Below are 25,740 nucleotides of genomic sequence, written 5' to 3'. Positions count from 1 at the left end.
TCAAGACCCAGGGGTACGTGCGAAGGATAGAGAAGAGCCCCCGATTAACCGCTGTGTGGCCAGGAAGAGGGACTGGGAGTGGGGGTGGGTGCCCAGAGCTTGCACAGATCCCCATGTCAAGCGGACACCCGCCTGGCTCTTCAGTAAAAGAGTGAAGAAAGGCCGAGCACAGCGCGAAGGAAACCTGAGGTCTCCGGCAAGGCAGGAGAGGAGACCAAGTGACTCCCCGAAACCCACCCTCCAGCCCTTCGAGAGGCCCAGAGTCCAGCCGGAGCAAGCGTAACGCTACAGTCCCTGGCGCGCATCCCTGCAGACCCCAGCTCGCCCCGGGGTCCCGCCGCCGCCGCCGCCACCGCCTGCGACTGCGAGGGTCCTGGCCCGAGGGTGCACCAGCACCTCCTTCCACTACCGGCCCTTTATCTGACAAAAGAGCCGGAGCCCATGACTCTCCGACTGTGAGCAGTGTGGCCTTTCCAAGCCTCCAGAACTTTCTCATTACAACTTTTCCGGGGTCGCACTACTCCCTGGGCCGCGCGGGCTCGGGCACGAGGACCTGGCCAGGGCGCAGCGCCGGCACGAAGGCGCGCGCCGCAGAACTGTTTCCTCAGCCGCGTGCCGGGGAACTAACTGTTTCCTCAGCCGCGTCCAGCCTCGCAGCACTGCTCTTCTGCTTGCTACTCCAGCGAAGGGACATGCCTGCTGGCCAGGACGCTTAGTGGGCCTCGTAACCTGGCGAGTGTGTGCCCGCGCGTGTCCACCCTGCCCCCGGCCGGTGCGCCCCGCGCGCCCAAACCCGGCCGGCGACCACTGCGCGCCGGGCGCTTCCAAACTGCTCCTGTCCAGAGGCATCCCTCTTTCGGCTTTCTCCATCCCGCGTCCGCTTCCGCACCCGAGAGCGACAAGCAAAAAAGATTCAGTGCAACTCAAGGACTGGTAAGAACCAACTAGCCTGTCTCCCCTCTCCAAAAAAGCGCCCTCCCGCGTCCCTCCAGAACTCCCGAAAGACATCAACACCTTCCCGCAACTTTCTACGCCCAGGCCATTTGCAGCCCCACCTGCGAGAGCGAATTCGGGGAACTGCGCCTGGGCAACCTCTTTCCCTTTCTGCTGGGTGCCCTCCCCTCCCCCATCTCCCCGTCTGGCTGGAGTTGGCCGGACTCGGGGAGCCTCGGTGCCCGCAGACTCGCTTACCTCGCATGGTGTGGCCGCTCTCCCGCTCCGCGTAGTCATGAAGCTGCTCCCAGCCCGAACCCCGGAGAGCCCAAAAATCCCGCTCAGCACGAGTGAAGAAGGTGGTCGGCGAAGAGCTGCTCTGCCGAGAAAACCATCCCTTTAGGCGGACGCCGTGGCTGCAGGGTGACGTTTGCCGCCGCCGCCGCTATGTTAACAGTTTTGATGTTGGTGGTGACTGTTTTGATGATTGTTTGTTTGTTTGTTTGTTTTCAGGAAGGGTGAAAAAAAAATGTTCTGGCTGTCTGGTGCCTGGGTTTTGTTTTGGTTTTGTTTTTCTTTTTCTTTCTCTCCAATGTGCTTGCTTTTTAAAAAATGCCACCGCCTCCGGCTCAGAAGATTTCTTTTGTGATCACTTGGACTGAGGAGGAGGAGGAAGGGCAGCAGCAGGAGGAGGAGTTGGTGGTGGTTTTGTTAGTTACAAAGAAGAGGGAGAAGGAACAAGGGGGAAAAAAGGAAACAGAAAGAAAAGAAAGAAAGGCGGTGTGGATGGCAGAGCATGTGCGTTTTCACATGACATCTGTGCCTGTTAGCGGATCCACAATGTGAATTTTCACTGTTCAGTTACAGGGAGGAAGGGAGCAGCGAGAGAGAAAGAGAGGGGAGAGATGGAGAGAGAGCGCTGAGAGGGGCTTATACGCGAGGGCGGGCTTGGCCGCGACTTCCAGGCCCCGCCTGCTGTCAGCGCAGCCGCCAATCAGAGCCCAGCAGCGCCTGGAGAGGCTGGGACCGCGGGGAGGGGACGTGGTGGAGGCGGGGGGTGGGGCGGGGGCTGGGGACCAGGGAGTCCGAGGTGGCCGGGGCTGCGACGGGGAATTCGAGACTGTCCGAACTGGGCAGAGAAGAAGGGCCGACCGGGAGAGTCGGGCAGATCCGCAGGTGACAGGCACTTCCGACTCCAGCAGAGAAGGGGACACTGATCACGGAAAACCTTCGGAGGCAAGAGACGCGGGGCTCCCCGGGTTTCACGTTCGGTCCCTGTCTCGCAACCCCCGCGGGCCCGGCAGAGTTAGTTTTGAATTTATGGCAGCGCTTTGCCGAGCGCTATTTGGGTAAACTTCGGTCTCCGGCGGGGGTTTCCGTGGGCAGGTGGTTTGGGTGTTGGTGGTAGAATAATGCAAACCCACTTTCATCACTTTTAGCACAACTAAAATGCAGTCCCATGGAAGTAGCTGTCCCCTTCCTTTAAAAACGTCCGTCAGATGCTCCCTGACCCTCTTCTAAAAAAAAAAAAAAAAGAAAGAAAGAAAGAAAAAAACGTGTATATGTTCTTTTGTCTGGGAAATTGATTTTTATTAGCATTTGGAGACTCCCCTGGCGATGGACTACAGGACTGAAGGAGAACAGCTCAAATTGGCGGTGTAGCCACCTTACTAATTCAAGAGAAATGGCTGTTGCTAGAAGGTGTGATTGCAGGGTGCTCTTTAGAAAGGTTTTAGAAGGAAGACATTGTTAACTTTAGTTAGAGGCGATTGGTAACTGAACATAGATAAACTTACTTGTATTCCTTAGGTGAAAATTGTCATCTATGACCATTTATTTGTATTTTGATAAAAATCTAATACATATATCCAAACTGTTCCTTTGCAAGTTTTTCCAACTCAGTTGACAAAATAAGCATATAGATGATTACATCTACTTCCTTCCCAATAGTAGGGAACTTCTTAAATACTTGAGTTAATTGAACACCCTAAAAGATTGGGAGGTGAAAATATTTGCCTCATTCACTCAGTCTTGAGGCTGGGAGATGTCTACTCATTAGCATACCTGTTGGCACAGCAGGCCTCATCATCATTTAAGTATCCAAATAATTTGATTTTTGACTGGTATTTATTCATGATATGTCATGTAACACAAAGTACAATGTAGAATTGGCAGTTATTTAGTTAATTAGGTCGCTCTACACTGCCAAGTAGTTTTTTCCTTCCTGATTAAATGAAAAATGAATTATCTGCTGAATTTTCACCAGTATTAAATTGACGTAGCCCTGCTATATGCCATCCCATTTGCAAACCAATGTGTAATTTAGGAAAATTTTAGTATTAAGAGTGAAAGTTGATTGAGTCATTAATTAAATGAAATGAACAAAAGGAAGTTACTGTTTAGAATAGTTATTCCTTTATAAATATCTTTCTCCTAGATTTGTAATTGACACAGTAGTTAATCTTTTAAGATAATATTTAAGGCTCCCTGGTTTTATCATTTTTAATCAAGTAAAATATATTCATCATAACTATGTTAAAGCTGTACAAAGTTATGCCTAATTTAGTTGCTTCATTAAAAATTACTGAATATAAAATAGTCAAGAAACAAATTGTGACTATATCATTTTAATTTTGTTGCTTCAAGCAGAGACACAAGAATATTGAAAATTCCAAAGGCTTTGTAAACATTGTCTAATTATTATTGTTGTTGTTATCATTTTAGATTTCTATTTCTCTTTAGAGTGAACAGGAATTTCAAAATCCAAAAATTTAAACATTTATGTAATTTTAACTTTCTAAACATTTATTGAATTCTGAATTTTTTTTTAATGCTGCAATATCTGTAATCCTTGAAAAAGGTAGTCAACACGTGTATAAAAAGTATTTACCCCCCCATACATTTTTATATTCTCTTTATTTTGTGGTTTCAGCAAGGCATAATTTTGCTTAGAACATATTTCTTAATTCCTTCTGAGTATTTTTGGAGAAATTATTAATTAGAAGACTATATTATTTCATTTTTCAAAACTATGTATATAATCTCTATATATGGTGATACAAAAGTATGTATTTTCTCTTTAAATGCTAATCATTGGTTATAATGTGGCGGCCTGGGACATTTTGGATCTTTCTAAAAATTTAAAAACTGGTTTGTTGAATATTTCTAATAATTTTCACATTTATTTCACTGAATGGAGCCCATTTATTTAAAATAAATATTAAGAATTTGAATGAAAGAAGTCAGTATTTTCTAAGAACTCACAAAGCACATATATATAATCTGATGGTTTTGTAACCTATCTGCCAGCAAATAATCATATTTCAAGTGGCATAATAATAATACATTACTGTAATGTCCTAGCTCATATGAAGTACGGTATCAGTAATTTTATTTGAATGATTATGTCTGGTTTCCTATAAGCTTGAAACTCTGCTTTTCACTCTGGGCCTGAAGGATTTTCTAAGTTGACAGTTGCATGTTGATTAATTTAAATGACAATCAGTCACATAGCACTGTCCTCAATCTCAAGAATTGACATCAGATTCCACTTAGGCTTGCCTGCTTACCTGTTTTTCTGACACATTAGCACCCCTCAGGTTGAGCTGTACCACAGAATAGGAATGACAACAAATATCCTGAAAGAGGCAAAGTTTTAATATAAGCCAACCAGGTAGGGTGACCATGGCATTTAGGATTATTTCAATCCTAAAAGGCTTAAACAGGAAGTCATAGTTCATGTTATTCTGAGCTGATAAGTCAGAATATTCACTGGTCAGGGAATATTTTAAATAATTAAGACTCTTGAATGGACATTAGCAATACTGATAACAATGTTACTTTTAGGAATGACTGAAAGATTGGTTATGTTTAACTCTATTTAGGGAGCTGTGTGGCTGTGAAAATTGGGAAAGAGATATAAAGCTGCTATTAAATATTAGAAAAGCCAGAAAAATGTAAGAACTTTTAACATTCAAACCTTTTACAAGTGGGAAGGGAAGTACTGAGTTCCCTGTTGCTGAAGGCATCCAAAAAAGGGTTGAATGAAAGGTTCTGTTAGAGATGCTCTAGTATACAGATTTCTATACTAGGGTAGAAATTGTCTAGATTACCTCCAAGATCCTCTGTAGCTCTAAGTGTACAGTTGGCCTTTATGTCCATGGGTTCCACAACTGTGGATTCAACCAAGAGCAGAGCAAAAATAAATTGTGTCTGTACTGAACATGTACAGATATTTTTCTTGTCATTGTTCCCTAAACAATACAGTATAATAATTATTTATATAGTGTTGACATTGGCATTATAAGTAATCTAGAGATGATGCAAAGTATATAGGAAGATGTGCATAGGTTACATGCAAATACTACACACCATTTTATAGCAGAAACTTGAATATCTGTGGGTTTTGGTATCGGTGGGAGGTCCTGGAACCAATCCCCCGTGCATACCAAGGGATGCCTGCATTCACATGGACTAAAGGTTGCTACCACTGCCCCAGCAGGCATCAGAGCCACATTTCCTACCTGAGAATGCAAAATTCATGACAACAGGAGCCAGGATTTCCCTAGAGTTTGTAAGAGCTCCTGGTACTTTATGGGTGCTTGATCATTATTGGTGGAGTGAATGCTTTCTAACCTTTCAGCCACTGAATATGAATCACAAATGGAGTGAAGACCTGAATAAGATCCTTCTTTCTCAGTTTCTATTGAATGGGAAGAGGAGAGTGGGGAGAATCTGCATTTTAAACTCTCCTAATTTGGGGAAGCAAAAAATAATGGTTGAGATTGGTTATATAGTCATAAAAGGAAGCTAAAATTTAGTTATTTTCATATTTATTACTATTCTTAATTAATTTATTTATTCTTTGAAAGGAAGTCTCGCTGGAGGCTGGAGTGCAGTGGCACAGTCTCAGCTCACTGCAGCCTCTACCTCTTGGGTTCAAGTGATTCTCCTGCCTCAGCCTCCTGAGTAGCTGGGATTACAGGTGACCACCACCATGCTTGGCTAATTTTTGTATTTTAGTAGAGACGGGGTTTCACCATGTTGGCCACACTGTTCTCAAACTCCTGACCTCAAGTGATCTGCCTGCCTCAGCCTCCGAAAGTGCTGAGATGACAGACGTGAGCCACCACACCCAGCCCTATTCTCAATTTTATTCCCAGGTACTGAGTCTTCTTCATAATCTTTGAGTTCTTTAAGTTCTGCTTCATTTTAAAGTGTAGATGCAAGTTCAATAAGTTTTCAAAATAAAAAAAAGAAAGCAAATATTAAAATAGAGCATGTAATTTTGAAATAAATTGGAAAAGGTGATAAGGGCCAAAGCATGAATTAACCCCAGTATGTGGGAGAGGTAAGGCTAGCTTTGGAACAAAGACAAAACATACAGGTCAGAAAAAACAAGAGCCAACATTTATTGGATGAATCACATGATTTCTCAACCTATCTAATTTCTATTTCTTACAAGAGTCTACATGTTATACATTATATCTCTTCCTCCTCCCCATCTTTTAAAAAATTATTTTATGGCTAAAAGAACAGAGGCTTAAAAAAGTTAACTCACCTAAGATCACAAATCGTAAAATGCTGGATCCAAGATTCAAACCCAGGTGTAGCCACTAAAACGTGTTTCGTGAGTGCAGGAACTTTCTTCATTTTATTTTATTTTTTCAGTGCTCAATCCACAGAATCTAGAGTCTCTTGCCTGATAAATAGTAGATGTTTAAAATACACTTGTGAATAAATAAATGGACATTTAAACCCTCGTCCACCACACAGTATTACATATGTACATTCTCATCACTAAATGACATTAAATAAAGAAGAGTGAATTTTGACTTTAAAAATAAAAGGACATTGTGAAAAATTTATGAAACAGTAATGGCCTAATTTGGTCCACCATGGAGTTTAGGAAAATACTTCTGCAATAAATATTTCAGGTTGTAAATAATGTAAGGCTGAATTAAATTGGCACCAGGAAAAAGGGGGAAAAATGAAAAGGTTGGTTGCACGACACATTTTGCAGGCAGAAGCTATGACATCTAATGCATGATTAGACCAGTGGTGCTGATGGGCAGAGTGTTGGGTAATGGGAGGGAGAAGTCAAACCAAAGCTTCACCAGTAGGAGGCTTATAGAATGCCTATCCCAATAATCTAATAAGTATATAAGGAAGGAAGAGCAGATTCTTGTTTAAATAGGGGAAAATGTTGACATTAATTTTCAATTTTGCATATCAGTGACAATGTACAGCAGCTAGTTGGCTATAGATAGAACTGGAGATTTGGGAATTGGTTAGAGGTGAAAGTAAAGATTTATGACATTCAGGCCAGGAGTGTTGGTTTTCGCCTGTAATCCAGCACATTGGGAGGCCGAGGCGGGTGGATCACTTGAGGCCGGGAGTTCAAGACCAGCCTGGCCAATGTGGTGAAACCCCGTCTCTACCAAAAATACAAAAATTAGCCAGGTGTGGTGGGGGGCATCTGCAATCCTGGCTACTTGGGAGGCTGAAGTGGAGGTTGCAGTGAGCTGAGGTTGCACTACTGCACTCCAGGTGACAGAGCGAGACTCTGTCTCAAAAAATTTATGACATTCAGAAACACCAAGGAGAATAGAGCCAATATTAGATTTAAATGTGAACAAATAAGTACATAAAATAATAGAATTACATTTTTGTGTATATTTATATGATATTTTAAATAGGGACAAACTTGTCTGCATCAGGAAACCCAGACACCATAAGGTTAGGTATATTTTCCTATACACAAAGTAAGTATTTTAAATGGCAAAGACCCCAAAACAAAATCAATAGGCTGGAGAAAATATTTGCTGCCCATGTGACAGATGAAAGATTAGTAGCCTTCATAACAAATGTATGCAAACTTACAAATTGATAAACATTAGATTTTAAAAAACCCTAAAAGTGAAGTTGGTAGAGAAGAAAGGGAAGATAATTTAGTGGCTAATTTCTTTTTTTTTTTACTTTATGGTTTTTGATACAGGTGAATAATTTCTTCTTCATGTTTACAGCTCTGTAAATAAGGTTGAGAAGTTCCTTTCCAGATCAACTGACAAGGCTTTAGGATAATTTCTTGTATATTTCTTAAAATATGAATTAAAATGCAAAAGTAATATTTTATATAACTTCACTATTCTTGCTGATAGTCTTTAAAATTTATCTTGAATTGGCTACTTTTCTATACCTTCACTGCCTTATCAATCTAAGCTACTGTTCCTCTCCTGCCTAGATGGGTATAATATTCTTAGAATATTTTCTCTATCTCTATTCTTGCCTCTCACCCCATTAATTTCCCAACTGGCATTAGAACTTTTAAAATCAGATAATAAACATTGCCCTGCTAAAACACATTAGTGTCTTCCTATTGCATTTAGAAAATAACCCATACTCCTTACCGTGGCTTAGAAGTAGGGTGCATACATATTATAGTTTGCCCTGAAACCCTGCATAATTATTAAAAGTGTCCCTTTCATTTTTGAATGTGTTCCTGTTCGGGCAGTGCATAATAGAATTATCCTGTTGATTATAAAGCTCTGCTGGCTTAAATGTTACGGTCTCAGAGAAATCGTCTCTCATAATACCACCTAAGAGTTTATAATTCTTTATCAAAAAATCTCTGTTTTCTTTATAGTGTATATCAGAATTTATGATTATTTGTTTGTTTTCTTTTATTATCTAATGAAGGAACTCAATTAATTTATAATTAATATTATTAATAGCTGCAGGAGGCAGTAACCACTTCTTGTATTTTGAATTATATTATCAGTGCCTCGAATGATGTCTGACAGGTAGCACATGCTTAGTAAGTTTGTTCAGTGAATTGATAACTTTGACTAATTGCCACAAATAAATTGATATAAGTAATAATTCTTTCTTTTTGAAAACTTGGTTCACATATTTGCTAAGATATCTCCAGATCTCATTATGGCCACACTAAAAAAATGCATGAAATATTGTTTTTCCTTTCAAGGCAACTGACATATAGTGATGATTAAATGTATTGGTTTGGGAGTAAATAAAACAGGACAACAACAAAAACAAACAAAAACTGATTTTGTCCCCAGATCTGCTATTTGCAACGTAACTTCTAGCTGGTTGTGAACCTACTGGTTATGGACTGCATGTTTGTGTCCTCTCTAAATTCATATGTTGAAGCTCCAATCCCCATTGGATGGTCTAGAGAGGTAGGGCCTTTGGGAGGTAAGTAGGTTTAGATGGGCCATGAGGGTGGAACCCCTATGATGGGATTAGCGCTCTTATAAGGAGAGGAAGAAACACCAGAATTTCCTCTCTCTGCCATGTGAGAGTACAGCAAGAAGGTGAGCTGTCTGCAAGCTATGAAGAGGCCTCTCGTCAGATACCAAATCTGGCAGCACCTTGATTTTGAACTTCTCAGCCTCCAGAACTGTGAAAAATAAATGTTGTTTAAGCCACCGAGTCTATGGTATTTTGTTATAGCAAACTATTTATGTAGTTTTGTGTGCATGTATATATACACACACACACACACACACAAAATACACACACAATGTTTTTTTACAGTATGTACTGTGTATATATGTATATATATGTAAAATAAGGCTAATACACTTAAAAGGATAAAATGAGATATACTAGCATAATGGTCAGAACATCACAATCAAGCAAAAATCATTAACTATTGAAACATTTTATTATTTTATTGGGAAAATCTGTCTCACGTATAGGTAATAGCAAAATTTTCAATTCAGGTCAGTTAGACTTTGCTTGTTCATCATACTCTACAGCTACTGTTAAGTGCTCAAAGAATGCACAAAACTAATTTAATATTTACCCTATTATCAGTTATTTTCAATTTGATTTTTCCCAACTGCTTTATGACTGCCCCTTTTTTTCCTTCCTTATTATATTGTGGATTAATCAGTTTTGGATTACTTCATTTATTTTCCTTCTGTTTGCATGCTGGTTATACAGTCTTTCACTATTCTACTAGTAATTTCTCTAGAGATTAACATGTGTCTTTGGATTATTATAATTAATATAAACTATTACTACATTCCAGTCAGTGCTGAGACCCTCTACATGTAACTCCGATAATCTTTCCTCACCTCCTGAATGCTGTGTTACTGTTATCATGCATTGTTAACTCTACATATATTTTAACCGTCTTAAGATAACATTATTCCTTAAGATAACATTAATTGCTATTGCTATTACTGTTATTGTTTTGTGTGGTCAGAATTTCTTCAGATATTCCCCAGGCTCAGCCTATCTAGTTTTCTTGAATTTTTTGTGTTTCCCTTTGAGATTATTTTCCTTAAGTATCTTTAGCAGTTTAGTGGCCCTTTTAAATGTATGGCCCTTATTCATGTAATTCCATTGTCTTCTGTCTTAAATCTTCTCTGTTGTAGAGTCAGCTCTCAGTCTTATGGTTGCTTCTTTGAAAATCAAGGGTCTTATTTTTTGGATCCTTTTACAATGTCTTTGTCTTTGGTTTTCAGCTGTTTTATTGTGATGTGCTTAGGTGTGGGTTTTCTTTTTAATTGCTCTCTCTAGATTTTGAAGCAATTCTTGGATCTGTGGCTGGGTATCTTTTAGCATTTGGAATGTTCTTGATATTTACTCATAAATGTAGTTCTCACCTCATTCTCACTGTTTTCCCTTCTGGAGAGAGATGGTGTTGCATGCATGCTAGAACCTTTCACCATGTCACCATGTCCCACATGTCCCTTTCAGTTTTATACGTAGTTTCCATCTTTTGTATTCTTTAGATTTCCATCACTATATTTTATACTTACCTGATTTCTAGTTTATTAATCCTTTCCTCAGCTATGTCCCATCTTCAAGTCTGTTGTTAGACCTATCTACTGAGGCATTTATTTCAGTTACTGTTTTTAGTCTTAGAATTTCCATTTTGTTCTTGTTTATAGATTTATCAGTTATCTGATAAAATCCTTCATCTTGTCCTTTATTTTCTTGAACATGTGAGTACATAGTTACTTTAAAGCCAATGTCAGATAATTCCAATATCTAGGTCATCTGTTCATTTGCTATATTGTTAATTTATTCTCTAGAGTTTTTAAATTGAAATTCTGGACATAGTTTATAAAAATTAAAGAATCTCTGGGTGATCAAAATTCTGCTTTTTATGGTAGTGTTTTCTTTCTCTGTTCCAGAGAAGATTGGAATGAACAGAGAAAACACAAGTCAGGACAATTTTGAAGATTTGAATTTGAAAAAAATTTTGTTGAAAAGCATATACATAGGCCAAACTTGACTCAGGGTATTTTCCATGAAGATTAAAGAACTTACTGTGTGTTTCCTTTTCCCAAGCATCAAAATTATTACTGGTATATAGCTGCATGTTTATAATGTCACTAAAATTACTACATTCTTTTCAACACACTCACCAAAATCAGATCATTTCTTAGTACAAAACGTTTTTATCTTTTCTATTGCTTAAAGGAGTAGATGGGAATCTGTGTTTTCCCTTGAGATTCTACAATTTGGTGAGAGCTCATCCTTGGAGTTTATCGCCACATTTCTTTCCTTGAAATAAAAACTATACAGCTAACTGCAGCTACTTTAGGGACTAAGATTATAGTCACCATGTCCCTCCCTTAGAATGCATCCACATACAGGCCATAGGTTGCTCAGTTTGAATGCTTGGCATTCCTGGGACCTGATGGCATTTTGATAAATGATGCACATACATAATTTGAAAATTTTAAATGCATTGGCAGAGATCAGGAAATGTTCATGTTAATAAAAGCATAATTTTCTGGATCAAAGCAGACAAGGGAGGCCAATTTTCTCAGATGAGGAGAGCTTGAGAATCTGTTTAGTAAATGAGAAGAGAGGTTGAGGGAAGATGAGCCCTTTAAATCAGGGAAAAATACTTTATCAATATAAACCAATTTCAGAGTAGTCCATCTTCCTCTTTGAAGGGACACTGGGAGTAAAGGAATGAAAGCAGCATGCTTTAAAAAAAAATTCTAAGCAAGTCTACCTGAACTCCCTAGTGGGATGGCTACAACCTCAGTCAGTTTATATCAAAATGTGGAAAAAATGTTTTATTCGAATGTAAATTCTGTTAACTCGACAGCCAGGACTTAGAAGAAGGAAAGAAAAAAGAAAAAAACATGAGCGTGAGATGAAAGGTAGGAATAAAGAATAAGGAAAGGAATGAGAATTAAGGGATTAAAAAGGCCTTGAGAGAGACAGGGAAGGCATACATATGTCTTTAACAGAATGGTAGCTAAAGTGCGCTGTATATTTCATGGACATATTTCAGATGAGTCATTCTATAATAAGTGAGAAAAAGCAGGGGTGTTGCCTAGGATGGTGAGCAGAAAAGGAAGAAGAAGGTTACAAAGGAAAAAGAGAAGAGGACAAAGGGCAGGGGCAGCTTTTACTTTGTTTATTGGCTTATGTGAAGGGGAGCTGATCACTTAGGACCGAATTGATTTTTTCCTGAGGAGTAGTACTGGCGTTTTTGTTGTTTGTTTGTATTTTTGGCAATTAAGTCTCAAGGGTCTTCTCTTAATGGCCTCTGTAAACTACCAGTCCCTATCTTTGACAACCATGGTCTACCCTGGGAAAAGGGAATGATGGGCTTTTCTGCTTGGGTTTAGTTTATGTCCAACATGCAAACATGAAACCAATAATACAAGGCAATGTTCACAGTCCCCCAGTAAAAGTTTAAGAAAGGATTGTTTTTCTTTACTGCAAAGCAAGCACATATCCATTAACTAAATTGCTTTATGAAGTTGTAAAAAAAATTTTGGTAAAGCTGGTATTGTTCATTTGGGGATTATGTAAAATTAATGAAATTAGTGCTATGAGACAACTATATGTTAGAAAGGGAAAGAGTTTCTTCCAAATATCAGTGAATCTACAATGCAGTGAAAGTACAATACATTCAAGTAAGTCTTTTTTTTTTCTTTTTTTCTTCAACAGGTTTGTTATACTCAAAATGTACCAGGAACAGGAACAAAAGTATTTTATAAAATAATTAATTTTTATGGGCTATGAGTCCCAAATGGTTATGTAATCAAAGTGGAAGCAGAAAAGCATGGCTTAGAAAATAATTGGTCATGTCATGTCACGCTTAACACATGTGCAGGTATGTGCAGATGTGTCCCCACAGAAGGCTAGTGAAGTTATTTTATGTATTTAAATGGGGATAAGTTGATAAAGAGTTGTAGAGATTTGCTTAGATCACTTGTATCCACTATCTTTGCTTCTGGAGATATGGGCAGGATATAAATGAAATGGGTAAATGGAAGCGTTCGGGGCAGCAAATAAGCTTGTGTTCTCTGCTACATCCAAGGGGTCCCTTGCATAAATTTCCTGCCCCAAGAGATTTGAAAATGGAAGAACAGTGATCAGCAGAGGGAGTAGTGCTAGTGCCAGGACCTGATTTAGCAAACACCTTAACTTTATTGGTTTAGAAGGAGCCGGAGAACTTGAACACAGCAGTGGTGGCAAATAGAAGGGACCAGCATCTTCCCATTCATGGGAAGCTAACGGCAGCCTACAAAATCACTATTTTCTTTTGAGATGGAGTCTTGCTCTGTCGCCCAGGTTGGAGTGCAATGGCGCAATCTCGGCTCACTGCAATCTCTGCCTCCCGGGTTCAAGCAATTCTCTTGCCTCAGCCTCCTGAGTAGCTGGGATTACAGGCACGTGCCACCATGCCCGGCTAATTTTTGTATTTAGTAGAGACGGGATTTCACCATGTTGTTCAGGCTGGTCTTGAACTCCTGACCTTGTGATCTGCCCGCCTCAGCCTCCCAAAGTGCTGGGATTACAGGCGTGAGCCACCGTACCTGGCCAAGAATTGTTTTTTCTAAAGGACTAATGAACTTGACAGTGACAAAAGAACAGAAAATGGAAACATTAAAACGCCTAAGGAAAAGGAAACAGGTTTTGATCCCTGTGGACTGTGATGAGTGGGGACCAACTCGATGTCTGTGCAAGCATCCTGGACTTAAGAAAAATGTGGAGGATGTAGTTACACATGATTAAGATGAATTCAGCTCTAGGGAGGAAAAGGAGAATTATTTTTGAAAAGCACAGTTTAAAAAGCAGACTTTATAAAGCCATCACTATACTTACAGGTGGATTAGTCATTCATTTAAAGATTCAATAAATATAGATTTAAGTAAAATCTGCCATTTCAATTTCCTATACGTTTCAACAAATGGCAAACCTTGAGTAAATTCTGTTGCAAAGACAGTAAAAATCGTTAAAAATCATGGGCCATTTGAAATTTATTTAAACAGAAGTCCCTCTATAAAATATTCTAAGATATAGATAAGCCTAAAAAATTATTGTCCTTTATAATTTTGCTTTATAATTTATGTAGGAAATTTGTAGGCATTTTACAAATGAAAAGAAATACCCTAAAACCAAAATATTAAGCAAACTAAGTAAAAAGCTAATCTCAAATGTATACTAAAATGATCTTGTAAATCACATCAAAATGACTGATAATTTTTAATAGACTTATTTTTTTAGAGCAGTTTTAGGTTTATAGAAAAATTGAGCAGAAAGTACAGAGAGTTCCCATATGCACCCTCCCACTTCCACAACAGTTTTCTCTATTAATAATATCTTGCATTCATGTGGTAAGTTTTTTTTACAGTTAATGAACTAATGTTGATGTATTATTATTAACTATTGTTCATAGTTTACTTTAAAGTTCATACTTTGTGTTGTGTATTCTATGGGTTTTGACAAGTCTATAATGACATGTATACACCACTGTAGTAGCATACAGAGTAGTTCCACTGCCCTAAAAATCCTCTGTGCTCCACCTAGTTATCCCTTCCCCGCCACAATCCCTGGTAACCACTGATATTTTTACTGTCTCCATAGTTTTGCCTTTTCCAGAATGTCATATATTTACAATCATACAGTATAGAGCCCTTTCAGATTAGTTTCTTATACTCAGTAGTATGCATTGACTTTTCCTTCATATCTTTTCATGGGCTGATAACTCATTTTTTTTTTTTGGCACCAAATGATAGTATTCCAATGTCTGGATGTCCACAGTTTGTTTATCCACCTACTGAAGGACATCTTGGTTGCTTTCAAGTTTTGGCACTTATGAATAAAGCTGCCATAAATATTCGTGTGCAGATTTTGAATGGACATACATTTTCAATTTATTTATGTAAATACCAAGGAATGTGTGATTACTGGATCACATAGTAAGAGCATGCCTAGTTTTAACAAGAAACCACCAAACAATCTTTCATCAAAGTGGCTACAGCATTTTGCATTCCCAGCAGCAGTAAATCAGAGTTTCTGTTGCTCAACATCCTTGCCAGCATTTGGTGGTTTCAGTGTTCTGGCTTTTCACCATTTACATAGGTGTGTAGTAGTATCTCATTGCTATTTTAATTTGTAATTTTCTAATATCATGTTGAGCATCTTTTCATACGCTTGTTTGCATTTGTATGCCTTCATTGGTGAGGTGTTTGTTCAGCTCTTTTGTTTAAAAATGATCATTTTAAATTTATAAAACATATACAGTTATATATGTATATATAGTCATACAGAGAAATAGTCAACAGAGAAAGCTTGGAAAAACAAAAATGTTATTTAAAATCACATTTAACCACACTATTGTTGTTTTTATATTATCTTTTCCCATTATTTTGTTCAAATGCAAAAAGATTTTATGTAATTGTCATTATGTACATACAATTTTATATGGTCCTTTAGAAATATTATAACATATCTTGTAATTATTAATATAATTTATTATAAATGAGTAGGTATAATTAACTTAATCATTTCCTTATATTGGATATTTAGGTTACTTCCATTTGTCATGCAATGTTTTTAAAAGCTTTCTTTTTTTAACAAAGCAAATTTATAAATCTTTCTTTTTTTTGAGACTCTGCCCTCCAGGTTGCAGTGCGATGGTGTGATCAATGCTCATAGTAGCTTCAAACTCCCAGGATCAAGTGATCCTCCTAAATAAACCTCCTGAGTAGCTGGGACTACAGGTATGTGCCACCACGCCCAGCTAATAATAATAATAATTATTATTATTATTACTATTGTAGAGATAGAGTCTTACTATGTTTCCCTGGCTGATCTCGATCGAACTCTTGGGCTCAAGCAATCCTCCTGCCTTGGCCAACCAAAGTGCTGGGATTACAGGTGTGAGCCACTGAACCTGAACCCTGTAGATTTCTTTTTGAGTTGAAAACTGCAAATTCTGCTAAATCTTTTTTTTTTTGGTAGATTAAAGTGACCTGTGTTTGAAATGAAGAATTATTTTGTAGGTATGCTTAACAGAAAACATGTTCTAATGGACCCGTGGCCTACAAAACCAGAGACTTAAAATATCTTAATATAAACAGGAGATTACAGATAGATATGGATCATTTTTTCATGTAATAAAATGCTGACAAGCTTTTGCCCTCGTGGAGCCCCTAACATATGATAGTTAACTTGGTGACTGTGAAAACCTAGAAGGTAGAAAAGTGTCCTCTAGGGACATAACCCTATCATAAAAGCTCCATGCCTGGTCAATTCTTTGAAGAACTTCTCAAAGGTGGCACAGTTTTGAGCTTTGGAAGTTTTAACATGTTCTCTGTGATCCTAGCATTTCTAATTAGAACCTTAACGTTTCTTGTGACTTCTCAGAATCCTGCATTGGCAGGGAGCTCTGTAACCACTTTACCGTGCTAGAAGAATGAGGTTAGGATGGAGGTCTCTGAGCTAGAAGAAGGATTAGGCCAGGAAAAGAGTAAGGATTCAGAGTCAGAGACTGGTCATTTACTCCATCTCTTCCTTGTTTCTCACTTGTCATACCAATCCAACATGAATTTTTTGAGAATTAAAGGAAGTGCCATATACAAAAGCACCCAGCATCTAATTATTATTACATAAATGTTAGTCTGCTCCTCGGAACAACTCCTTTTGTTCATGGTTTCTTGAAATTCTAATTGTCAAGGAAAGGCAATTCTGTAGCATATCTGCATAGTCAGGATTCTATGGGTTACAAGTGACAGGGAAAACACTCAAGCACTTAAAAAATAACACTAGCTTGAGAAAAACAGGAAATTATTTGCTTATGGCCAGAAGGAGCACAGTGGGATGTGGGATGTAGGACTTCACACAATATCATCAGTCTTGTCGCTTTCCGTCTTCTGACTGTGTCTTACTTTGTGTTCTCTTCCTTCTCATGTCCCTAGGAGATGGTGAAGCTAGTTACCAGATGTTCTAGCTTATATTCTACCATCTGAGTAAACTCTGTGCAAATGGCATATCTCTTCTAACAGTTCAGCAAAAGCCCCAGATCTGATATCAATTGGCTTGGTCTGGATCATATTCACATCCTTGACCCAGTAGTTATGGGTCTGATTGGCAGGTCTGGAAGGGGTCCTTGGTGACCTCTAGAGGGGTAACCCCTACTGGAATTATGTGAAAGGAAAATATCCCCAAAAGAAAATGAGTTGGCAGGCAATATTGCATGTGTGCTTTCTTTTCTTTTCTTTTTTCTTTTCTTTTCTTTTTCTTGAGACGGAGTCTCGCTTTGTTGCCCAAGCTGGAGTGCAGTGGTGTGATCTTGGCTCACTGCAACCTCTGCCTCCCGGGTTCAAGCAATTCTCCTGCCTCAGCCTCCTGAGTAGCTGGGATTATAGGCACGTGCCACCATGCCCAGCTAATTTTTGTATTTTTAGTGGGGACAGGGTTTCACCATGTTGGTCAGGCTGGTCTCAAACTCCTAACCTTGTGATCCGCCCACCTTGGCCTCCCAAAGTGCTGGGATTACAGGCATGAGCCACCGCGCCTGGCCCACATATGTGCATTTTACACATTTGTATAGGGATTTCTTTTGTGACCCTTTTTAAGGAACATTGCAGGAGGGAAAGACAGTGAAAAAAATCACATCTATTCTCATTTGTTATCCCCCATGGGAAGAAAGAACTCCTGAATCAACTGCTCCTGCCACAGAAGTTACAGGACAGTCAGCCTTGTGGAACATGAGCAGCTGCCACTGTCTTCTCTTTACACCTTACTACCTGGTCCAAATCCACCTTGTTTCCCTGAATTGTCACTGAGTATTCTATACAAGTGAGGAGAGTGTTTGTAAATCACAGAAAAACAAGTTTATCTGTGGAGGAAACACATAGAGAGTTATTATTGTTATTTTACACTATGTGAAGGCCAGAGGTAAGCAGGCTAGTATAGTATCTTCATGATTCTGTCAGGGACCCAGGGTCTTCTGTGTGTTCCTTAGATACTCGTAGGATATGGATTTTGTCCTCTTGCATTTTCCCTGAAGATCTCAAGATATTTCTCCACTTCCTGCATTACCTCAGGAAGAAGCAGAAGACAGAGGGCAGAAGGTGCATGCCAGCTGACTGTCCTCCCTGAGAAGAGGGGGAGAGAGAGAGAGAAAGGGAGAAAGGGAGAGAGAGAGAGAGGATAGAGAGAGAGAGAGAGAGAGAGAGAGAGAGAGAGAGAGAGAGAGAGAGAGAGAGAGAGAAAAGGGGCCCCTGGCAGCCAGGAACTGGCCTGGCGCTATCAATGGGCCTTGTTGCTAGGAGCTGACCTGGCACTCATGGCTAGGCCTTAGCAACTAAAGAGACAGTGCTAGAGATACCAGAAATATAGTGAGGGTTTTGGAGAAAAGGGGTGGAGAAAACCTTTGACTATTCACAAGCTGGACCAGATTTGACTTTACTCAACAGTACATGGCCTAAGTGGACCACTGTAAATACATTTCAAAAAGTTACATTAATTCTCTGTCTGGATTTATGCAAATAGTCTCAGAGAAGGCAAACTGAGACAGCAAATGGCAAAACTGTGAAATACGTTTTATTTGCACACAGGAGAACTTAGTTTTGACATTTTGTTAAACAACCAAGATTTATTCTTCAAAAAATTAAATAACACAAGTCATGCATAAACACTTATATATTATGAAACATTTAAGTATTAAATAATATGAGCATATAGAGTGAACATTACAATTTCCTTTCCCTTCCTCCACAATCTTCCCTTACTAGCAGGAACTACTGCTAAAATATTAGTGCATTTATTAGAGAACTGTTCACTTTACATTCATACTTGTAATTTTAGTTTCTTGTGTGTGTGTGTGTGTGTGTGTGTGTGTGTGTGTGTGTATCATTGTCTTTCCTTATACATACAAGTTAATCTCTTACCATAACAAGTAGAACTGCTGAGTCTAAGGTTTAACTTTAACCTTTTGGTGGATATGACCAGACTCCAAAATGTGCTTTTCCAATTTCCATGGCCACAAATGGTGTATGAAAGTAGTCATTTCCTCTTACCCTTGCCAACCCAGAGTCGCTCACTCTTCAGTTAAGCACTTGCTACCCAACTGTTGGTTTATTTTACATTTCCCTGATTACTACTGATGTTGAGGACCCTTCCATTTGTTTATGGGCTGTTAGGAATTCTTGTTCTATGAATTGTTTATCTTTATTCTTCCCTTGCTGATTTGTTTGGAGTGTTTATATAGTATGGATATTAATTCTTTGTTGCAATCATATGAGTTAAAAACATTTTCTCTCACTCTGCAGTTTGCCTTTTAGCTTACTATAATGTCTTTTTCTTGTAAAATCTTTTATTATAGAATCACTTGAAAACATTTTTTCCTTTTAGATTCTGGGTTTTGTGTTTTACAATGAAACTTTTCCTTAATCCAATCTTATAAGAATTTTCTCCCATATTTTGTTCAAATACTTTATAGTTTGGCTTTAGTTTTAGCCAGGAATCTGAGCTTTCTTATTTAGTATAATGTAGGTAGGAATCAAACGTGTCTTTTCCTACATGATATAATGGAATCAAAATTCTTGGGTCCATTTTCCAACTCTACCGTTTGCTGGTAGTTCAGAGTAACTAGCCTCTTCTGTGCCTCAGTTTTATTATCAAAAACATGAATAACATTTTTATCTACCTCATAGGATTGTGGGACTGATAAAATGAATTATTACATGAAAAACACTTAGAATAGTGTCTGGCATATTGTAAACTCTTCTTAATGTATGCTAACCACAACAAAAGTCCCCCAAACTCCCCAAACAAAACAACAACAGCAACAAATCTAAACTCTCCTCTAGTGAATTGATACATCATATTTACCATAATATATATACACAGATGGGTCTGTTTTTGGATTCTACTGAGTTTTATTGATCTCATTGTGCCACTTTTCTTTATTTACTATAACTTTAAGATATATTTGTTGTCTGGAAGGGCATATGCCTCTCATTGTTTGATATGGTTTGGCTGTGTCCCCACCCAAAATCTCATCTGAATTATAATCCCCATAATCCACATAAGGCCCACACGCATCCCCATAATCCCCGGGGAAGGACCAGGTGGAGGTAATTGGATCATGGAGGCTGTTTCCCCCATGCTGTTCTTGTGGTAATGAGTGAGTCTCAGGAGATCCGGTGGTTTTATAAGCATCTGGCATTTCCCCTCCTTGCACTCACTCTGTCCTGCCGCCCTGTGGAGAAGGTGCCTGCTTCTCCTTTGCCTTCTACCGTGATCGTAAGTTTCCTGAGGCCACCCCAGCAATGAAAAACTGTGAATCAACAAAACTCTTTCCTTTATAAATTACCCAGTCTTGGGTATTTCTTCATAGCAGTGCGAGAACAGACTAATACATTGTTCTTTTTTTTAAAAAAATTATCCTCCAGCATGTTTTTTCTACAGATGAATTTTAGAATTATCGTTTTAAGTTCTATAAAAAAACAGCTTGTTGACTTCAATAAAAAGTGTTAGGTTCCACAGAAATTTATTTAGGATTGTAATTACATGTATGAATTACTTTAGGGTGAATTAATATTTTTATAATATTGAATTTTCCTGGAAGATGGGTTCACATGTGACACATTGCCCCAAAAAGTTGTCTTGTTTTATGTTCTTCAGCAAAATGTTAGCATTTTCATCATATCTTGCTTCTGATTGTAAAGTGGCTGAAGAACTCCCGATGTTGTTACTGTTAGTCAGACACAGGGACAATGGGAGAGTCTTGTCATATCTTAGCAATTTTGACTTGGTCAAGCTCCTATCTCTGAATTAATTCCCATAACTAGAAGAATGTATGTATCCACAACTGCTTTAAACTTAATTCATGGGTCCCACCTGGAACTCCTGGGCAATAGGGAAATTACCTAAGAAGGCAGAATAAATGGAAATGTCAATTATTCCAATTTTGGGGTATACTTTTCTCCTATATTGACATTTGGCCTGATTTTATTTTTATTAATTTATTTTTTACTAGATTTTTAAGATTTTCCTTGGGAAGGATTTCTGCATTGTATACTTTCTGAGTCCTTGTATGTCTGAGAGTGTCTCTTGTTTCCTTATTCACAAAATAATAAAATGTTTGAAATAGTCCACTGTCTTCTTTTATTTTTGTGTAGTAAATGAGAAATTTGATGCCTACCTGATTTTCTTTCATATCTTTTTCTTTGGATCTCTCTTGCCCTTTCAGCTTCCACCATGGGATGATACAGCATGAAGGCCCTCACCAGATATGCACCCCTTGATTTTGGACTTCCCAGACTCCAGAACTGTAAGAAATAAATCTCTGTTCTTTATAAATTACCTAGTCTCAGGTATTCTGTTGTGGCAGCACAAAATGGACTAAGACAGTCTGCTTCCTTGAAATAACCAAGCCTCCTAAGTAATTTGTGTTTTATTTTTCTATATCAGTCTATGTAAGTTGAGGTTATTATACTCAGCATCTTGGGCAGTGCTATATTGGCAAGCAGTGGGAACAAAGAAAGCAGTTAATTTTCTAAATAGCCAGAATTGTTTCAGTAGTCTCTTTCTAGGACTGAGGAAAAAGAGGGCTGGGATAGTTTCTTCTATGAACTGAGTGGATCCTGTTACCAATCTTTTGAAACCCTTAAATAGCCTCAAAATTGAAATACTCTGCCCCATGCTTTTCCAGAGGAGGCTCACAGTCTGGTTCACATTGTGTTGTGGAGCCTCCTATAAGTCTTATGTCATTGTGATTGGGAGCAGCTCCTTAGATTTTTGCAGGGTTTCCTTCAGGCTTAAAAAGTATCCTGCACTTCCTCCCACCTCCTCCCCAGTTGCCCTACAGACCTCCCACTGCTTAAGTCACCTCAGCTGTACATTGGCTAAGGAAAGAAGCAAAGTATTTAGGCCACTGTCTTCTGAGAATTACCTCTGACTTATCTTTAATTTTTTATTTGTTTCTGTATTAGTACATTTTCATGCTGCTGATAAAGATGTACCCAAGACTGAACAATTTACAAAAGAAAGGTTTAATTGGACTTACAGCTCCATGTGACTGGAGAAGCCTCACAATCATGGTGGAAGACAAGGAGGAACAAGTAACATCTTACATGGATGGCAGTAGGGAAAAAGAGAGAGAGCGAGCTTGTGCAGGGGAATGCCTCTTTTTAGAACCATCAGATCTTGTGAGACTTATTCACTATCACAAGAACAGCATGGGAAAGACCCACCCCCATGTTTCAATTACCCACCCACCAGGTCCCTCCTACAATACATGGGAATTCAAGATGAGATTTGGGTGGGGACACAGCCAAACCATATCATTGTGCCCCTGGCCCCTCCCAAATCTCATGTCCTCACATTTCAAAACCAATCATGCCTTCCCAACAGTCCCCCAAAGTCTTAACTCATTTCAGCATTAACTCAAAAGTCCACAGTCCAAAGTCTCATCTGAGACAAAGCAAGTCCCTTCCGCCTATGAGTCTGTAAATCAAAAGTAAGTTAGTTACTTATTAGACACATTGGGGGTACAGGCATTTGGTAAATGCAGCCATTCCAAATGGAAGAAATTGGCTAAAACAAAGGGACTATCGGCCCCAAGCAAGTCCAAAATTCAGTGGGGCAGTCACATCTTAAAGTTCCAGAATGATCTCCTTTGACTCCATGTCTCATATCCAGGTCACGCTGATGTAGGAGGTAGGTTTCCATGGTCGTGGAAAGCTCCACCGCTGTGGCTTTGCAGAGTAAAGCCTTCTTTCTGGCTGCCTTCACGGGCTGGTGTTGTGTGTCTATGGTTTTTCTGGGCACATGATGCAAGCTGTCAGAAGATCTACCATTCTGGGGTCTGGAGGATGGTAGCCCTCTTTTTACAGATCCACGGAGTGGCACCCCAGTAGGAACTCTGTGGGGGGGGGGATTCCAACCCCACATTTCCCTTCTGCACTGCCCTAGAAGAAGTTCTCCATGAGGGCCCCTCCCCTGCAGCAAACTTCTGCTTGGGCATCCAGGCATTTCCATACATATTCCAAAATCTAGGTAGAGGTTTCTAAACCCCAGTTCTTGATTTCTGTGCACTCACAGGCTCAACACCACATGAAAGCTGCCAAGGCTTTGGGCTTGCACCCTCTGAAGCCATGACCCGAGCTCTACATTGGCCCCTTTCAGCCATGGCTGGAGCAGGCTGAGACACAGGGCACCAAGTGCCTAGGCTGCACACAGGATGGGGACTCTGAGCCCAGCCCGTGAAACCACTTTTTCCTCCTATGCCCCTGGGCCTGTGATAGGAGGGGCTGCTGTAAAGACCTGTGACATGCCCTGGAGACATTTTCCCCATTGTCTTGGTGATTAACATTTGGCTCCTCCTTACTTATGCAAGTTTCTGCAGCCGGCTTGAATTTCTTCTCAGAAAATGGGATTTTCTTTCTCTCACATTGTCAGGTTGCAAATTTTCCAAACTTTTATGCTGTGCTTCTCTTATAAAACTGAATGCCTTTAACAGCACCCAAGTCAAGTCTTGAGTGCTTTGCTGCTTAGAAATTTCTTCCACTAGGTACTGTAAATCATCCCTCTCAAGTTCAAAGTTCCACAGATCTCTACGGTAGGGGCAAAATGCTGCCAGTCTCTTTGCTAAAACATAACAAGAGTCATCTTTGCTCCAGTTCCCAACAAGTTCCTCATCTCCATCTGAGACCACCTCAGCCTGGATTTCATTGTCCATATCATTATCAGCATTTTGCTCAAAGCCATTAAACAAGTCTCTAGGGAGTTCCAAACTTTCCCACATTTTCCTGTCTTCTGAGCCTTCCAAACTTCCAATCTCTGCCTGTTAGCTAGTTCCAAAATTGCTTTCACATTTTTGGGTATCTTTTCAGCAATGCACCACTCTATTTGTACCAATTTAGTGTATTAGTCTGTTTTCACACTGCTGATAAAGACATACCCCAGACTGAGCAATTTACAAAAGAAAGAGGTTTAATTGGACTTACAGTTCCATGTATCTGGGGAAGCCTCACAGTCATGTCAGAAGGCAAGGAGGAGAAAGTCATATCTTACATGGATGGCGGCAGGAGAAAAGAGTGAGAGCTGTGCAGAAGCATGTATCTTTCTAAAACCATCATATCTTGTGAGACTTATTCACTATCATGAGAACAGCGTGGGAAAGAACCGCCCCCATGATTCAATTACCCCTAACCAGGTCCCTTCCCCAACACATGGGAATTCAAGATGAAATCTGGGTGGAGACACAGGCGAACTACACCAATTTCTATTTCTATTTTATTTATTTATTTTTGAGACAGGGTCTTGCTCTGTTGTCTAGGCTGGAGTGCAGTGGCGTGGTCATAGCTCAGTGAAGCTTTGCAATCCTCTCACCTCAGCCTTTTGAGTAGGGACTACAGGTGCACATCAGCATGCCTGGCTAATTTTTTAAAGAAATTTTTTGTAGAGATGGAGACTCATTATGTTGCCCAGGCTGGTCGCAAACTCCTGGGCTCAATCAATCCTCTTGCCTTGGCCTTCCAAAATGCTGGGATTGCAGGTGTAGCCACTGTGCTCAGCCTGATTTATCTTTTGATGGGCTTGTACTCAAGAGGGTCTGAGGCTACTGTAATTCCATTTCTCTTTAGCAAATGCAAGATGCTCTATTCATTTTGGTACAGTAAATCTTCACTCAATGTCAAAATAGGACTTTAGAAACCAAGACTATAAGTGAAATAAGCTACTGCTGCCCTCAATTAACATTATTTTGTGATAACATTGATGAGAAAAGTATTGATTTTGTTACACATCATTCTGCTTAAAGTCACAGTTTCAAGATCCTATCTATGATGTTAAGTGAGGACTTATTATGTATCATTTGCCTTTTGAAAAACTATATTTCTAAACTCTTGTAACTTAGAAAAATTAATATATTTTGTTTAAGTTAATGATAGGCATCTGGAGGATGTGATAGTTTTTCAGAATATGCTAGGAGTTAACCATTTTTTAGTTGCCACGAAAATTCATTTTATCAAATCATTTATTTATTTGACAAATAGGTTTGAATGCCTTCTTTTTGCCAGATACTGTCCTGAAATGTCTTTCAGAATCTTCACTGTTTATTGTATAGCATAGACACTCCTGGGGAGAGGGCTGTCATGTGAACTTGCATGTCCTATTGTTTGTTTCAATCAGTTTTTATTTAACAGCTTAAAAAACGTCCTCTAGTCCCAGGTCCAAAAGCTTTAAAATATGACATTGTATCTCCTTCCATAAAAAGGTGGAGTCTGCCTCCCTATCCTTTGAATTCGGACTGGCATCGTCACTTGCGTTGGACAAGGTATATGGTAGTAGTGTTGATGTGCGAGTTTTGAGCTTAGATCATTGGAGGTCTTCCCCTTTCTTTTTCAGATCTCTGTGGTTACTCTGTGAATTGGTCTGTACAGGCCCACTTGAGTACAGATGAGCCATTTCAGCTAAGCCTACAAGACACTTCCAGCTAAACCTAGCCCAAATTGCCAACTTGCAGAATTGTAAGCTAAATAAATGACTGTAAGCCGTTAA

The 25,740-nt window shown here is 39.3% G+C and overlaps 1 protein-coding gene and 1 long non-coding RNA gene across 2 annotated transcripts in view, besides 5 other annotated features; one reads left to right on the top strand and one right to left on the bottom strand.

Annotated features, from left to right (window-relative positions):
- Nucleotides 1-1,840, bottom strand: part of RORB (RAR related orphan receptor B) — a 195,843-nt gene extending 194,003 nt beyond the window's left edge. Inside the window, exon 1 of the mRNA NM_006914.4 lies at nt 1,192-1,840. Within this exon, the coding sequence (NP_008845.2) occupies nt 1,192-1,198 (7 nt within the window). The 5' untranslated portion in view covers nt 1,199-1,840. The remainder of the gene's footprint in view (nt 1-1,191) is intronic.
- On the top strand, nt 622-25,740 carry RORB-AS1 (RORB antisense RNA 1). The gene is made up of 5 exons (NR_125791.1): nt 622-933; nt 12,886-13,051; nt 15,836-15,947; nt 21,428-21,508; nt 25,588-25,740. It is a non-coding gene; the product is annotated as an RORB antisense RNA 1 (long non-coding RNA).
- Nucleotides 1,608-1,902: a silencer, noted in NCBI's record as "tiled region #6114; K562 Repressive non-DNase unmatched - State 3:PromF". NCBI's record gives its function as "represses a minimal TATA promoter and a strong SV40 promoter by Sharpr-MPRA in K562 cells {active_cell/tissue: K562}" and the evidence as "EXISTENCE:reporter gene assay evidence [ECO:0000049][PMID:27701403]".
- Nucleotides 1,608-1,996: a biological region, named in NCBI's record as "Sharpr-MPRA regulatory region 6114".
- Nucleotides 1,807-1,996: a silencer, noted in NCBI's record as "silent region_19950". NCBI's record gives its function as "represses an Ori minimal core promoter by ATAC-STARR-seq in GM12878 lymphoblastoid cells {active_cell/tissue: GM12878}" and the evidence as "EXISTENCE:reporter gene assay evidence [ECO:0000049][PMID:35858748]".
- Nucleotides 1,992-2,204: a silencer, noted in NCBI's record as "fragment chr9:77111887-77112099 (GRCh37/hg19 assembly coordinates)". NCBI's record gives its function as "represses an EF-1alpha promoter that drives an FKBP-Casp9 reporter gene in an ReSE screen in K562 erythroleukemia cells {active_cell/tissue: K562}" and the evidence as "EXISTENCE:reporter gene assay evidence [ECO:0000049][PMID:32094911]".
- Nucleotides 20,415-20,584: a silencer, noted in NCBI's record as "fragment chr9:77093507-77093676 (GRCh37/hg19 assembly coordinates)". NCBI's record gives its function as "represses an EF-1alpha promoter that drives an FKBP-Casp9 reporter gene in an ReSE screen in phorbol 12-myristate 13-acetate-treated (for megakaryocytic differentiation) K562 erythroleukemia cells {active_cell/tissue: K562(+PMA)}" and the evidence as "EXISTENCE:reporter gene assay evidence [ECO:0000049][PMID:32094911]".

This window comes from Homo sapiens, chromosome 9, assembly GCF_000001405.40.
Source record: "Homo sapiens chromosome 9, GRCh38.p14 Primary Assembly".
Classification (NCBI taxonomy): Eukaryota; Metazoa; Chordata; class Mammalia; order Primates; family Hominidae; genus Homo; species Homo sapiens.
The sequence above is the reverse complement of the archived record's forward strand: the minus strand, read 5'-3'. Positions and strand labels throughout refer to the sequence as shown.